Below are 16,125 nucleotides of genomic sequence, written 5' to 3'. Positions count from 1 at the left end.
GATCTGTTTCTACCCATAGAACACTCCTGGCACCAAATGTGTGGGGTTTTTTTTTTCCCTGACATCAACCAGTTCTCCAGCTCTTCAGATACCAGCTGGACTTCGTGCGGTTCTATCTGATGTTATGTACTTTGAGTTGGCATCAGATGCAACAAATTAAGGGTTCAGTCCCACAAGGCTGCCATCACTTCAGATGTCAATTGCAAGCTGAGGGCCTCCCTTCTTTTGAATGACGAGCTATAAATCGGGAGTTCCCATGATCCCCTCCTCAGGTTCTATAATTTGCTAGAACAGCCCACAGAACTCAGGAAAACTGTTTCCTTACGTTTACTGATCTAGTGTAAAGAACACAACTCAGGAGCAGCCAAATAAAAGAAATGCATAGGGCAAGATATGGGGAAGAGGCATAGAGCTTTCATGCCCTCTCCGGGTGCCCCATCTTCCCAGCACCTCAATGTGTTCATCAACCCAGAAACTCTCCAAACCCCATTGTTTCCGGTTTTTATGGAAATTTCATTATGGTAGCATAATTGATTACATCATTGGCCATTGGTGATTGAACTCAATCTCCACCTCTTCCCTCCTTCCCAGAGGTGAGGTGGGGGCCAAAGTTCCAACTCTCTAACACATGGTTGATTCCTCTGGCTACCATCCTCCATCCTATAGCTATCTAGGGAACCACCAAGAATCACCTTATTAGCGTTATTTTAGGTTTAGTTGAAAGGAGCTTGCTATGAATAACAAAAGACGCTCCTCTTACTTCAGAGATTCCAAGGGTTTTAGGAGTTCTGTGCCAGGAACTGGGATGAAGACCAAATATGTATCTCTCATTATATCACAATATCACAGATGTCTTATTTTGTGAAGGGTCTATAAAAATACATATTTTTTTTTCCTTTTCCTTTTTTTTTTTTTTTTTGAGGCAGAGTCTCCCTCTGTCCCCCAGGCTGGAGTGCAGTGGTGCGATCTCGGCTCACTGCAAGCTCCGCCTCCCGGGTTCACGCCATTCTCCTGCCTTAGCCTCCCCAGTAGCTGGGACTATAGGCGCCTGCCACCACGCCCAGCTAATTTTTTGTATTTTTAGTAGAGACGGGGTTTCGCCGTGTTAGCCAGGATGGTCTTGATCTCCTGACCTCGTGATCTGCCCGTCTTGGCCTCCCAAAGTGCTGGGATTACAGGCGTGAGCCACTGCGCCCGGCGTATAAAAATATTTTGCTGGCTGGGTGCGGTGGCTCATGCCAGTAATCTAGCACTTTGGGAGGCCGAGGTGGGCAGATAACCTGAGGTCAGGAGTTCGAGACCAGCCTGACCAACATGGAGAAACCCTGTCTCTACTAAAAATACAAAATTAGCCAGGCATGGTGGCGCATGCCTGTAATCCCAGCTTCTTGGGAGGCTGAGGCAGGAGAATGGCGTGAACCCGGGAGGCGGAGCTTGCAGTGAGCTGAGATCAAGCCATTGCACTCCAGCCTGGGCAACAAGAGCAAAACTCCGTCTAAAAAAAAAAAAAAATTTTGCTGGCCAGTTGTGGTGGCTCATGCCTATAATGCCAGCACTTTGGGAGGCTGAAGCTAGAAGATCGCTTGACCCAGGAGTTTGATACCAGCCTGGGCAACATTGGAGAGACCCTGTCTCTACCAAAAATAGTATTAATAAATTAATTAAATGTTACAAAGAAAAAAATTAACATAAAGAAAAATGAACAAAATTTTTTGTCTACTTTTTTTTGGGCTTTTTCTTTTGGATTTATATGAGTTCTTTATGTATACAGATATGAGTCTTTTGACTGGGGACAGTGGCTCACACCTATAATCTCAGCGCTTTGGGAGGCCGAGGCAGGCAGATCACTTGAGGTCAGGAGTTCGAGATCAGCTTGGCCAACATGGTGAAACGCTGTCTCTACTATACTAATAAAAAAAATTAGCCGGGCATGGTGGTGCATACCTGTAATCCCAGCTACTTGGGAGGCTGAGGCAGAAGAATCGATGGAATCTGGGAGGCAGAGGTTGCAGCAAACCAAGATCATGCCACTGCACTCCAGCCTGGGCAACAGACTGAGACTCTGTCTCAGAAAAAAAAAAAAAAAAAAGATGTGAGTCTTCTGGCAGATATATGTATTGTAATTTTTCTTTTTCCTCCCGAGATGGAGTTTTGCTCTGTCACCCAGGCTGGAGTGCAGTGGCGCAATCTCAGCTCACTGCAACCTCCACCTCCTGGGTTCAAGCAATTCTCCTGCTTCAGCCTCCTGAGTAGTTGGGATTACAGGTGCCCATCACCACACCTGGCTAATTTTTGTATTTTTAATAGAGACGGGGTTTCGCCATGTTGGGCAGGCTGGTCTTGAACTCTGACCTTGTGATCTGCCCGCTTCAGACTCCCAAAGAGCTGGGATTACAGGCGTGAGCCACTGTGCCTGACCTAATATTTTTAAATAAATAAATCTGTTGCTGGATTTAAAAAATTGTTTTAATGGCTCAACACTTTTATATTATAGATTAAGTAAATGCAAAATTCCATTTCAGGCAGTAATGTCAATTAGACACCTGAATGACCCTTCAAACTAAATAAAATATAAGGCACATAAAATAATTTAAAATGCATTACTGAGCTGATATGAAAGTAATAATGTTAGCAGCGGAACATATCCAAGTCACAGAGCACCAAAGCATGTTACCGACAGCGAATACGTAAGGTCTGCAGCAACCTCAATTCTTGCCTCTTAAGAAGAAAGAATTCACCTCATGGGCATAAAGCAGAGTGAGAGATCCAGGCAAATTTTAGAGCAGGAATTAAAGTTTATTAAAAAGTTTTAGGGCAGCAATGAAAGGAAGTAAAGTACACTTGGAAGAGGGCCAAGTGAGGGACTTGAGAGAGTCAAGTGCACAATCTGATCTTTTGACTTGGGGTTTTATATGTTGGCATGCTTCCAGGGTCTTGCATTACATCTCTCCTGATTCTTCCATTGGAGTGGGCTGTCCACATGTGCAGTGGCCTGCTAGCGCTTGGGAGGTGAGCATGTGCAGTGTGTTTACTGGAGTTGTATGCATGCTCATTTGAGGCATTCTTCCCTTACCAGTCAAGTGTTCCTATAAGGTCATATACCAGTTAAACTCCACCATTTTGCCTCTTAGTGCGCATGTGTGAGCCTACTTGCCCAACTCCTAAGATCTTATCAGGAAGCTGCTGATCACCAGCTTCAGGTTTTTCTACATATTGGGAGACTGCCTTTCCCTGGTGTTGGCTGCAACCAAGAGAGAAAGTTAACAACTGCCTGACCATCACCTGATGGTTGCCTAACATTTCTGGTAGAGCAAGAGGCCCTCTCCTGCCCTGCTCATACCTGACTAATTACTTACTGTAACAATAACTCTGCAGAGGCCTCCAAACAAAAGAAAACTCAGAGACCTTGAGAGGTAATATGATAAAGACAGTATTTGCCCTGGAGTTTTCTGCTAAATCTTGAAGAATGTGAGTCTTCTGCTTTGAAGACCTCTTGGAGCTACTTCTTTAATTGTAGAAGTTAAAGTCTGGGACATGCTTAGGTGAGAAATCTAGAAATCAGCCTTCTTGTCAGAGGCTTTTGGACCAGAGCAACTCCATCTTGAATAGGAGCTAGGTAAAATGAGGCTGAAACCTACTGGCTGCATTCCTAGACGGTTAAGTCATTCTAAGCAGGATGAGATTGGGGGTTGGCACCAGATACAGGTCATAAAGACCTTGCTGATAAAACAGCTTGCAGTAAAGAAGCCAGCTAAAACCCACCAAAACCAAGATGGCCATAAGAGTGACCTCTGGTGGTCCTCAGTGCTACACTCCCACCAGCGCCATGACAGTTTACAAATGCCATGGCAACGTCATGGCAGGAAGTTACCCTATATGGTCTAAAAAGGGGAGGCATGAATAATCCACCCCTTGTTTAGCATATAATCAAGAAATAGCCGGCCGGGCTTGGTGGCTCACACCTGTAATCCCAACACTTTGGGAGGCCGAGGTGGGCGGATCACGAGGTCAAGAGATCGAGACCATCCTGGCCAACATGGTGAAACCCCGTCTCTACTAAAAATACAAAAATTAGCTGGGCATGGTGGCAGGCGCCTCTAGTCTCAGCTATTCGGGAAGCTGAGGCAGGAGAATCGCTTGAACTAGGGAGGCAGAGGTTGCAGTGAGCCAAGATCAGGACACTGCACTCCAGCCCTGGTGACAGAGTGAGACTCTGTCTCAAAAAAAAAAAAAAAAAAAGAAAGAAAGAAATAGCCATAAAAAAGGGCAACCAGCAGCCCTCAAAGCTGCTCTGTCTGTGGAGTAATCATTCTTTTACTCCTTTACTTTCTTAACTTGCTTTCACTTTACAGACTTGCCCTGAATTCTTTATTGTGTGAGATCCAAGAACCCACTCTTGGGGTCTGGATGGGGACCCCTTTCCTGTAACATTCTGAATAAAGCTGAAGCTCCCCAGATCTACACCTGAAGTATAAAGAAAAATGAAAAAATAAATTCCATTGTGCAAAAGACATCAGAAAAGACAGTTGCCTATCTGTAACTGCCCAATGGGGTTCACCTTGCCAGCTGCCTAGACAGAGCCCATTCATCGAGACAGGGGAATTGCAATAGAGAAAGAGTAATTCATGCAGAGATGGTTGTGAGGGAGACTGGAGTTTTATTATTACTCAAATCGGTCTCCCCAAGCACTCATGGAGCAGAGTTTTTAAGGACAACTTTGTGGGTAGGGGAAGGCAGTGAGCCCGGAGTGCTGACTGGGCAGGGATGAAATCATAGGGAGTCAAAGCTGTCTTCTTGCACTGAGTCCATTCCTGGGTGGGGACCACAAGATCAGAAAAGCCCATTTATCAGTCTGGGTGGTGCCAGCTGATCCATCAAGTGCAGGGTCTGCAAAACATCTCAAGCACTGATTTTAGGAGTAGTTGAGGGAGGGTCAGAGTTTTGTAGCCTCCAGCTGCATGACTCCTAAACCATAATTTCTAATCTTGTGGCTAATGTTAGTCCTACAAAGGCAATCTGGTCCCCAGGCAAGAAGGAGGTCTGCTATGAGAAAGGGCTGTTATCATCTTTGTTTTAAACTATAAACTATAGGCCCAGGTGTGGTTGCTCACGCCTGTAATCCCAGCACTTTGGGAGGCCAAAGTGGGTGGATCACCTGAGGTCAGGAGTTCAAGACTGCCTGGCCAACATGGTGAAACTCTGACTCTACTAAAAATACCAAAAAATTGGCCTAGCGCAGTGGCTCATGCCTATAATCTCAGCACTTTGGGAGGCTGACGTGGGCGGATCAAGAAGTCAGGAGTTCAAGACCAATCTGGCCAACATAGTGAAACCCTGTCTCTACTAAAAATACAAAAAATTAGCCGGGTGTGGTGGTGTGCGCCTGTAATCCCAGCTACTTGGGAGGCTGAGGCAGGAGAAGCACGTGATCCCGGGAGCAGAGGTTGCAGTGAGCGGAGATCACACGTTGCACTCCAGCCTGGGTGACAGTGCGAGACTCCGTCTAAAAAACAAAAAACCAGGTGGGGGTTCCCTCTCTCGGCTTTGGAGCCCCCGTCCCTGTCTCTGTACAGGGGAGCTTCTTCCTTCTGTCTTCTCCCTTCCTTCTTGCCTATTAAACTCTCAACTCCTTAAAACAAAACAAAACAAAACAAAACAAAATTACCCAGGTGTCGGGGTGGGTGCCTGTAATCCCAGATACTTACAAGGCTGAGGCAGGAGAATTGCTTGAGCCTGGGAGGCGGAGTTTGCAGTGAGCTGAGGTCGCGCCATTGCTCTCCAGCCTGGGCAACAAGAGTGAAATTCCATTACAAAAAAAAAAAAAAACAACTATAAACTACAAACTAAGTTTCTTTCAAAGTTAGTTCGCCCTACGTCCAGGAATGTACCAGGACAACTTGGAGGTTAGAAGCAAGATGGAGTCTGTTAAGTTAGATCTCTTTCACTGTCTCAGTCATAATTTCGCGAAGGCAGTTTCATATCTTGAACTTGGAACTTGACAGAAGAGAAAGCTATTTCTTGCGGATTCATAACACAAGCTAGCTTTTATGAGTTTTGCAGTTTTAATTCATGCTACCTGTGAAACTCAGAAAACCTTCGAATAGGGAATTTTAAATGGTGCTATTTGGTAGCTCTTGTCATGCGCGTCCGTGTGAAGAGACCACCAAACAGGCTTTGTGTGAGCAATAAAGCTTTTTAATCACCTGGGTGCAGGCGGGCTGAGTCCGAAAAGAGAGTCAGCAAAGGGTGGTGGGATTATTATTAGTTCTTAAGGGCGGGGGGGTTGGGGGGCGGTGGGCGGGGGGAGAGGGACAGAATATTACAAAGTACCTTCTTAAGGGCAGGGGAGAATATATCCTATCAGTTAGGGTGGGGCAGGAACAAATCAGTGATGGAACGTCATCAGTTAAGGCTATTTTCACTTCTTGTGTGGATCTTCAGTTGCTTTAGGCCATCTGGATGTATTCGTGCAGGTCACAGGGGATATGATGGCTTAGCTTGGGCTCAGAGGCCTGACAGCTCTCTCAGTCAGAAGTAACTTATCTTTGGGAGAATTCAGCTGTAATCCAGGTATCAAAATATTCATGGATAATATATCAATATTCAGATCTAGGAAGCCCAATAAAGCCAGGTAAATCCCAAGCAAAAAAATCCACATCTAGATACATCATAGTGAAATGCACAACCCTAAAAAAAAAATAAAGAAAAAAAAAGGATGGTGAAAAGTCACAGGAAAAGAGTCAGATCACCTACAGGAAAAAGGTAATTAGATGGTTGGCTGCCTTCTCAATTGCAAAAATGAAGATAGGAAAATATATTCAAAGTGGTTACAGAAAATATTAGTCAATCTTAAGTTTTATATCCATCAACAGTATCTTAAAAAACAAAGAGGGTGCCATAAAGGTATTTTCAGACAAAAATAGACTTTACATCAAAAGACCCCCTGTAAAGGGAATTCTAAAGATGTAACTGCAGTAGAAACAAAATAAAATCCTGATGGAAGACCTAGGCTACATAATTTTTGGGTCCTAGCGCAGAGTCATTGAAAATGTGAGGCTCGGCTGGGCGCAGTGGCTCACGCCTGTAATCACAGCACCTTGGGAGGCCGAGACGGGCAGATCACGAGGTCAGGAGATCCAGACCATCCTGGCTAACACAGTGAAACCCTGTCTCTACTAAAAATACAAAAAATTAGCTGGGTGTTGTGGTGGGTGCCTGTAGTCCCAGCTACTCAGGAGGCTGAGGCAGGAGAATGGCGTGAACCTGGGAGGCAGAGCTGGCAGTGAGCCGATATTGCACCACTGTACTCCAAGCTGGGAGACAGAGTGAGACTCCGTCTCAAAAAAAAAAAAAAGATAAAAGAAAATATGAGGCTCCGAGGCCAGGCGCCGTGGCTCACACCGGTAATCCCAGCACTCTGGGAGGCCAGAGCAGGCAGATCACCTGAGGTCAGGAGTTCGAGACCAGCCTGGCCAAAATGGTGAAATCCCCATCTCTACAAAAATACAAAAATGAGCCAGTCCTGGTGGCAGGTGCCTGTAATTGTAGGTACTGGGGAGATTGAGGCAGGAGAATCGGTTGACCCCAGGAGGTGGAGGTTGCAGTAAGCCAAGATCATGCCACTGCACTCCAGCCTGGGCAACAGAATGAGACTCTGTCTCAAAAAAAAAAAAAAAAGAAAAAAGAAAATATGAGGCTCCTTGTTAAAAAAATTATTAAAAATTTCAAGATGGCAGTAGCAGGCATGGTGACTCTGCCTGTAATTGCTGCACTTTGGGAGACCAGAGCAGGTGGATTACCTGAGGTCAGGAGTCCAAGACCAGCCTGGCCAACATGGTGAAACTTGTCTCTACTAAAAATACAAAAATTAGCTAGGTGTGATGGCGTGCACCTGTAATCCCAGCTACTCAGGAGGCTGAGGCAGGAGAATCGTTTGAGCCAGGGAGGCAGAAGTTGCAGTGAGCCGAAAAAGTGCACCATTGCACTCCAGCCTGGGTGACAGAGCGAGACTCCGTCTCAAAAACAAAAAACAAAAAACAAAAAAACCTGATGACAACAGCAGAGCGTGAGAGCCAGTGCTGTGGTTTAAATGTGTCCCCACCAAAATTCAAGTGTTGAAACTTAATGGCCAGTGTAATGATAGTAAGAGGTGGTGCCTTTAAGAGGTAATTAGGTCATGAGGGCTCCTACCCTTTGAAATGGGATTAAGTCTTTTAAGAGAGATTCACATAGGTTCAGGTTGGCTTGCCTTTCTGCCTTCCACCCTGTGAGGACACAGGGATCCCCCTCTCCACAAGATACAGCAATAAGGTCCCATCCAGGAAGCAGAGAGCAGCCCTTTCCAAACAACTGAACCTGCTGGTGCCTTGATCTTGGGCTTCTCAGGTTCCAGAACTATGAGAAAATTAATTTATTTTCTTTCTTTCTTTCTTTTTTGAGACAGTCTTGCCCTGTTGCCCAGGCTGGAGTGCAATGACTTGATCTCGGCTCACTGCAACTTCTGCCTCCCAGGTTCAAGCAATTCTCGTGCCTCAGCCTCCCAAGTAGCTGGGATTACAGGTGCACACCATCACACCCAGCTAATTTTTTGTATTTTTAGTAGAGACAGGGTTTCACCATGTTGGCCAGGCTGGTCTTAAACTCCTGACTTCAAGTGATTCTCAGCCTCCCAAAATGCAGGGATTACATGCCTGAGCCGCCGCGTATCTTCTTTATGAACTATCGAGTATTTTGTTATAGCAGCACAAACAGACTAAGACACCAAGCATGGGGCCCTTTGTGACTACATAAGTCATACATCCACAAATCTGGCCCTAGGTACTGTACTGTTGAATGACTGTTATATAATCATTAATTATGTGAAACAACAATAATACTATTCTGTGGTGGGCAGGCATATGAAAACCTACCCCAAAGGCCGAGGGAGCTGAGAGACCATAGAAAGAGGCTGACAAATCCAGTTTCTCATAAAGCAATATTTAATAGGACTTACTAACAGAAGCTTTGTCTCATGCAACTGCAAATTGGTGGATCCTTGCAGTTACCCCCAAGACCCAGGGCTTATATTCAATAATAGGGAATTTGCCGAAGGGCAGGACATACAGTAAGTATGTGAAACTATAAATCTTAAGAGGCATTCTCAGAACTGGAGTTAATCATAAATCAACATGGATTAGCATATGAAGTTGATTTAGCTTCCACAAGTCTGTACTTTGCGGTTGAGAAGAAGCAAGCTAGAACTAAATTACTAGATAACAACAGCATATAAGCTGGGAGAGTTATAAAGTATTCTAAGGTTCTTGCATTGTTTGGGAAGAGGATAAAACTTTTGATTAATTTTAGACTTCACTAAGTTTGCATGTTAGAATAGCTATGACTACTATGAAAGAATAGGCATAGGTAACAAAACTTCCAAACAGGAGAAAAAACTCAGCCAGTTCAAAAGAAGGCAAGACAGAGAGAGACAGAAACATTAAGACAAGTTGCAAACCACATAGTAATTTGGTATAAATAAATCAAAATATGTCAGTAATCATCCTATGTGTAAATAGACTAAACTGTCCAATGAAAAGGCAAAGATTAAAGTAGATTTAGCAGTTCAAGTAACAAAAAGAAAAAAAAAAAAGAAAAGGCAAAGAGCCTAAAAACAAAACAAAGCTGGGCGTGGTAGCTCACGCCTGTAATCCCAGCACTTTGGGAGGCCAAGGTGGGTGGATCACCTGAGGTCAGGAGTTCGAGACCAGCCTGGCCAACATGGTGAAACCCTGCCTCTACTAAAAATACAAAATTAGCCGGGTACGGCGGCATGCACCTGTAATCCCAGCTACTTGGGAGGCTGAAGCAGGAGAATCACTTGAACCCGGGAGGCAGAGGTTGCAGTGAGCCGAGATTGCCATTGCACTCCAGCCTGGGCAACAAGAGCAAAACTCCGTCTCAAAAACAAAAAACAAAACAAAATAAAATCCAGCTATGTGCTGTTTCAAGATATATATATATATAAATATCATTATTATACAGAAATATTGAAAAGCAATGAATAGAAAAAAATATGCCAGGCCAATACCAACTAAAATGAAGTTGGAAAAGCTGTATTAGCATCAGAAAAAATAGACTTTCACACAAAAAGTATTAGGGCAGATAAAGAGTGTCATGTCATAATAATAAAATACTCAACAGAGATGTGTAACAAAAACTACTCTGTACCTAATAATAAAAATTTAAAACATATGAAGTAAATATTGACAATTTTATAATGAGAAACTAAGTTTCTATTTCTTCCTATAATGGAAGAATAGGTTGGTTCTCAAATTTTCGTCTGTCTCACGATCCCATGATGGGCTTCTTAAAACAGATTGCTGGGCCCAACTCCAGAGCTTCTGATTCAATAGGTCTAGGGTGGGGACTGAGAATTTCCACTTCTTACAAGCACCTGAGAGAAGCACCTAGTTCTCAGGTGCTGCTGATGTTTCTGATTCAGGCCTATGCTTTGAGAACCACTGGTTTAACAAATATTTCAGAAATTGATAGATCAAATAGACAAAAAAAATCAGTAGGAGACTGAATATTTGTTCAAATGGACATGTTAAAACACTGAGGGCTGGGCACGGTGGCTCATGCCTGTAATCCCAACACTTTGGGAGGCAAAGGCCAATGGATCACTTGAGGTCAGGAGTTTGAGAACAGCCCGGCCAACATGGTGAAACCCCATCTCTAGTAAAAATACAAAAATGAGCCAGGTGTGTGGCGGGTGCCTGTAATTCCAGGTACTCGGGAGGCTAAGGCAGGAGAATCGCTTGAACCTGGGAGAGGGAGGCTGCAGTGAGCTGAAATCATACCACTGCACTCCAGCCTGGGCGACAGAGTGAGGCTCCATCTCAAAAAAACAAAAACAAAAACAAAAACAAAAAAAACAACCAACCAACCAAACAAACAAAAAACACATTGAGAATAAACATTCTGCCAGGCGTGGTGGCTCACGCCTATAATCCCAGCACTTTGGGAGGCCGAGGCAGGCGGATCACCTGAGATTGGGAGTTTGAGACCAGCCTGACCAACGTGGAGAAACCCCATCTCTTCTAAAAATACAAAATTAGCCGGGTGTGGTGGTGCATGTAATCCCAGCTACTCAGCAGGCTGAGGCAGGAGAATCGCTTGAACGTGGGAGGCAGAGGTTGCAGTGAGCCGAGATGGCGCCATTGCACTCCAACATGGGCAACAAGAGCAAAACTCTGTCTCAAAAAAAAAAAAAAAAAGAAAGAAAACAAAAAACAAACAAAAAAAATTATTTTACACACACATGAAAAACATTTATCAAAATTGACCATGTACTAGGTCTTAAAACTTATCTCGCTATTTTCAAAATATTGAAAGTATCAGGTCAGGTCAGGTATGGTGGCTCACACTTGTAATCCCAATGATTTGGGAGGCCAGGAGTTCTAGACCAGCCTGGGCGACATGGAGAAAACCAGTCTCTACAAAAAATTTAAAAATTAGCCAGGTGTGGTGGTGCTCGCTTGTAGTCCCAGCTACTCCAGAATCTGAGGCAGAAACATCCTGTGAGCCCATGAGTTTGAGGCTGCAGTGAGTTATGACTATACCACTGCACTCCAGCCTGGGTGACAGAGTGAGACCCTATCTCTAAAAAAAAAAAAAGTATCATATAGCCTACATTATCATACAATTAAGTTAGAAATCAACTATAGAAAATAATTAAAAACTTGGCCAGGTGCAGTGGCCCACGCCTGTAATTCTAACACTTTGGGAGGCTACGGCATGTGGATCACCTGAGGTCAGGAGTTCAAGACCAGCCTGGCCAATATGGCGAAACCCCCTCTCTACTAAAAATACAAAAATTAACCAAGTGTGGTGGCTTATGCCTATAGTCCCAGCTACTCAGGAGGCTGAGGAGGGAGAATCACTTGAACCTGGGCGGCAGAGGTTGCAGTGAGCCGAGATCGCGCCACTGCACTCCAGCCTGGCGACAGAACGAGACTCCGTCTCAAAAAAAAAAAAAAGTTAAAAACTCTTATTATGCTTGGAAATTAAGGGATGTGTCTTTCCAACTCACGAGTCAAAGAAGAAGTTATAATGGAAACTGGAAAATACGTAGAAGTGAATGATAGTAAAGCCATTATCAAAACTCGTGAGAGGCAACTCAAAATTAATGAGTTTAGAACGCAGTTTAAGGAGTTAGGGAAAAAGCAACATAAGCCCAAATAATGTAGAAGGAAGGAAATAATATAAATTGGAACAAAAATTACTGAAGTAGGGCAAGGGTCGGTGGCTCAAACCTGTAATCTTAGCACTTTGGGAGGCCGAGACGGCAGATAGCTTGACCCCACGAGTTGGAGACCAGCCTGGGCAACCCAGTCTGTACAAAAGATACAAAAACAGCCAGGCATGGCAGCTGGCACCTGTGGTCCCAGCTACTTGGGAGGCTGAGGTGGGAGGATCACCTGAGCCTGGGAGTTTGAGGCTGAAGTGAGCCATGTTCATGCCACTGCACTCCAGCCTAGGTGAGACTCTATCTCAAAAATAAATAAATAAATAAGTAAATAAATAAAATATAGAGAGGATTAAAAAAGAGTTCCCAGAGGAAGGAATCCCTTTGCTTACTGTTGAAGGATAAGACTTCTCCTTAATCTAATGGAAAGGTATAGCTGTGCAAAATGGCATGTTGTAGTTCACGAGCTGTAAGTAACTTGGTCTGGCTAGAGGGATAGTGGTTGTTAAGTGGGTGCAGAAGAGTGAAGAAAGGAAAAGGCAGTGAGAGAGGCACTGAGATTAATACATTAAAATTCATGGAAGATGTGTATGAAAAGATAAATATATGTTTTTGGGAGGTCACTTTATGATTTAGCTTCTTTTGAGTGCTAACATGATTCTCAAGATACTTATGGGGCTGTTCTCCATAGATGGGCAGGAAATTCTCTGTGGGTGGGAGAACACAATATAAGTAATCTAAGAACAAGATAATTTTAGATAATTTCTGTATGAGTTTGTTAGGGTTGCCATAACAAGATATAACAGACTGAGTGGCTTAAACACATTTATTTTCTCACAGTCTTGGAGGTTAGAAGTCTGAAATCAACATGGTGGCAGAATTGGCTTTTTTGTTGAGACAGAGTTTCGCTCTCGTGGCCCAGGCTGGAGTGCAATGGGGCGGTCTCTGCTCACTGCAACCTCCGCCTCCCAGATTCAAGCGATTCTCCTGTCTTGGCCTCCCGTGTAGCTGGAACTACAGGCATGTGCCACCATGCCCGGCTAATTTTGTATTTTTAGTAGAGATGGAGTTTCTCCATGTTGGTCAGGGTGGTCTTGAATTCCTGACCTCACGTGATCCGCCGGCCTTGGCCTTCCAAAGTGCTGGGATTACAGTCGTGAGCCACCGCGCCAAGCCAGAACTGGTTTCTTTTGAAGCATCTCTCGTCGCTTGTACAGGGCCATCTCTCTGTGTTTTCACATGGTCTTTCCTCTGTAACTGTCTGTGTCTTAATTTCCTCTTGTTATAAGGATACTAGTTATATTGGATTAGGGCCTACCCTAATGTCTTCATTATAACTTAATACCTCTAAAGACTTCGTCGCTGCAATCACATTCTGAGGCACTGGAGGTTAGGACTTCAACATATGAATTTTGGTAGACCTCATTATAGCCCTCCGTCCACCTCTCCTCCAAATTCATACGCTCACCCTGTTCTAACTGTGCCAGAAATCTTAACTCATTTCAGCATCAAGTGTAAGCACAAAATATAATCTAAATCAGGTATGAGTGAGACTCATAGGAGTTATGATTTGTCCTGAGGCAAAATTCCTCCCCAGCTGTGAATCTATAAAACCAGACAAGTTATCTGCTTCCAAAATACAATGATGGCATAGGCATAGCATAGTCTTTCCCATTCCAAAAGTCAGAAATAAAAAATAAATCCCAGCCGGATGCGGTGGCTCATGCCTATAATCCCAGCACTTTGGTGGCCGAGGCGGGTGGATCACCTGAGCTCAGGAGTTCGAGACCAGCCTGGCCAATATGGCGAAACCCTTTCTTTATTAAAAAAGCAAACATTAACCAGACCTGGTAGCTTATTATGCCGGTAGTCCCAGCTACTCAGGAGGCTGAGGAGGGAGAATTGCTTGAACCCAGGAGGCGGAGGTTGCAGTAAGCCAAGATCATGCCACTGCACTCCAGCCTGTGTGACAGAGCGAGACTCTGTCTCCAAAAAACAAACAAACGAACAAAAAAAGACTAAGGCTCCAGAATAATCTTTGGCTTGATGCTCTGTCCTCGGCCCACCAGCGTGGTGGTCCACCCCCTCAGCCCTGGGTGACTTCAATATATACATTTCTGGGCAGGGGGCGGTGCACAATTCAGCCCCCAACAATACCTATGATGAAAATGTAACCTATCAATTTGATAGGGAGAGACTGGGAACCAGTGGATTAAGTCAAGGACATCTTCTCTAAGGAGGCAACACTGGACCTAAGACTATGCTTAGATCTGAAGGCAGATTATTCCGGGCAGAGGAAATGAGACAATAGAAATAAAGGGAAAGAGAAAGAACACAGTATGCAGGTTGAAGAGTTAGGCAGCGCATTTAAGCTAGAGCAAGGAGCCTAAATTTCATGCTAAATACAACAGGCAGGCATTGTAGGCTTATAAGCAGGGGAGAGTGACCTTATTTCGTAGGGATTTTGGGTAATGGACTGTAGGAGGCAAGAATAGAATAAGTAGGAAGATATACCAGTCTGTTGCAGCATATAGGCCACAGATTTTGGTGGTTTGGCCTATGGTGGTGAAGACAGAGAAAAGGGAATGGATTTCAGATATATTTTGAAAATGAATATAAAAACTGGGCTGGGCGTGGTGGCTCATGCCTGTAATCCCAGCACTTTGGGAGGCTGAGGTGGGTGGATCACCTGAGGTCAGGAGTTCAAGATCAGCCTGACCAATATGGTGAAACCCTGTCTCTACTAAAAATACAAAAATTAGCCAGGCGTGGCGGCGTGTGACTGTAGTCCCAGACACTAGGGAGGCTGAGACAAGAGAATTGCTTGAACCCGGGAGGCCGAGGTTGCAGTGACCCGAGATCGTGCCGCTGTACTCCAGCCTGGGTGACAGAGCGAGACTCTGTCTCAAAAAAAAAAAAAAAAAAAAAAGGAAAGACTGGCTATTGAATTGAATGAGAGAAATAAGAGAAAAGGAGAAACCATGTATGATCCCTAGATTCTTTTATTTTTAAAATTAATTTTTTTTCCATAGAAATGAGGTCTTACTTTATTGCTTGTTTCAAACTCCTGGCCTCAAGTGATCCTCCCAGCTCAGCCTCCCAAAGTGCTGGGATTACAGGCATGAGCCACCATGCCTGGCAGATCCCTAGTTTCTTAGTTTGAGAACTGATAGATTGAAGTGCTTTATGTTGCAATGGGTGTAAGTGAGGAAAGTAAGAAATGGAGGAACAGAGAGAGTTTTGTTTGGGCTGTGTTTGAGATGCCTTTAAGACTTCCTAGTGGATATGGCAAGTCAGCAATTATATATACAAATGTGAAGCTCAGGGGAAGCCTGTGCTGGAGCTAAAAAAGTCAGGGAGTCATTAGCCTATGGTTGGTATTTTAAACCACTGCATTAGACAAAAAGGGACTGCTATGGTTAATGACACAGTTTAAAACTTCTCAAGATGATTTTTTGTTTTTCTCTTTTGTGTTTTTATTTTTTGTACAACCTATATTTGTTTCCTTTTCATTTTCCCTTCAGTACTTATTTTAGAAGTTAGATGACCTCAGGAAAAGGGATTCAGGCAATGGTACCTGGAAAAGAGGTGAAGTGAAGAGAAATCTTTCAGGACTGTAAGCAGAAAAGAAGGGGTGAAGTGGGAGCTGGCTGGGACCAAGGGATAATCAGGAATAAGCTCATTTCTTGGAGCCTTTACTCCTCAATTAAATAATAAGGTTAGGCTGGGCATGGTGGCTCATGCCTTTTTGGGGGTTTTGGGGAATGGAGTCTCACTGTGTCACCCAGGCTGGAGTACAGTGGTGTAAACTCGGCCCACTGCAACCTCTGCCTCCCAGGCTCAAGCTTTTTTTTTTTTTTTGAGGCAGAGTCAGTCTCACTCTGTCACCCGGGCTAGAGTGC

General features: G+C 44.2%; 1 annotated feature.

Annotated features, from left to right (window-relative positions):
• Window positions 2,121-2,309: a silencer, noted in NCBI's record as "fragment chr11:107753920-107754108 (GRCh37/hg19 assembly coordinates)". NCBI's record gives its function as "represses an EF-1alpha promoter that drives an FKBP-Casp9 reporter gene in an ReSE screen in K562 erythroleukemia cells {active_cell/tissue: K562}" and the evidence as "EXISTENCE:reporter gene assay evidence [ECO:0000049][PMID:32094911]".

Source organism: Homo sapiens, chromosome 11 (assembly GCF_000001405.40).
Source record: "Homo sapiens chromosome 11, GRCh38.p14 Primary Assembly".
NCBI lineage: Eukaryota > Metazoa > Chordata > Mammalia > Primates > Hominidae > Homo > Homo sapiens.
This window is presented reverse-complemented; position numbering and strand designations above follow the sequence as displayed.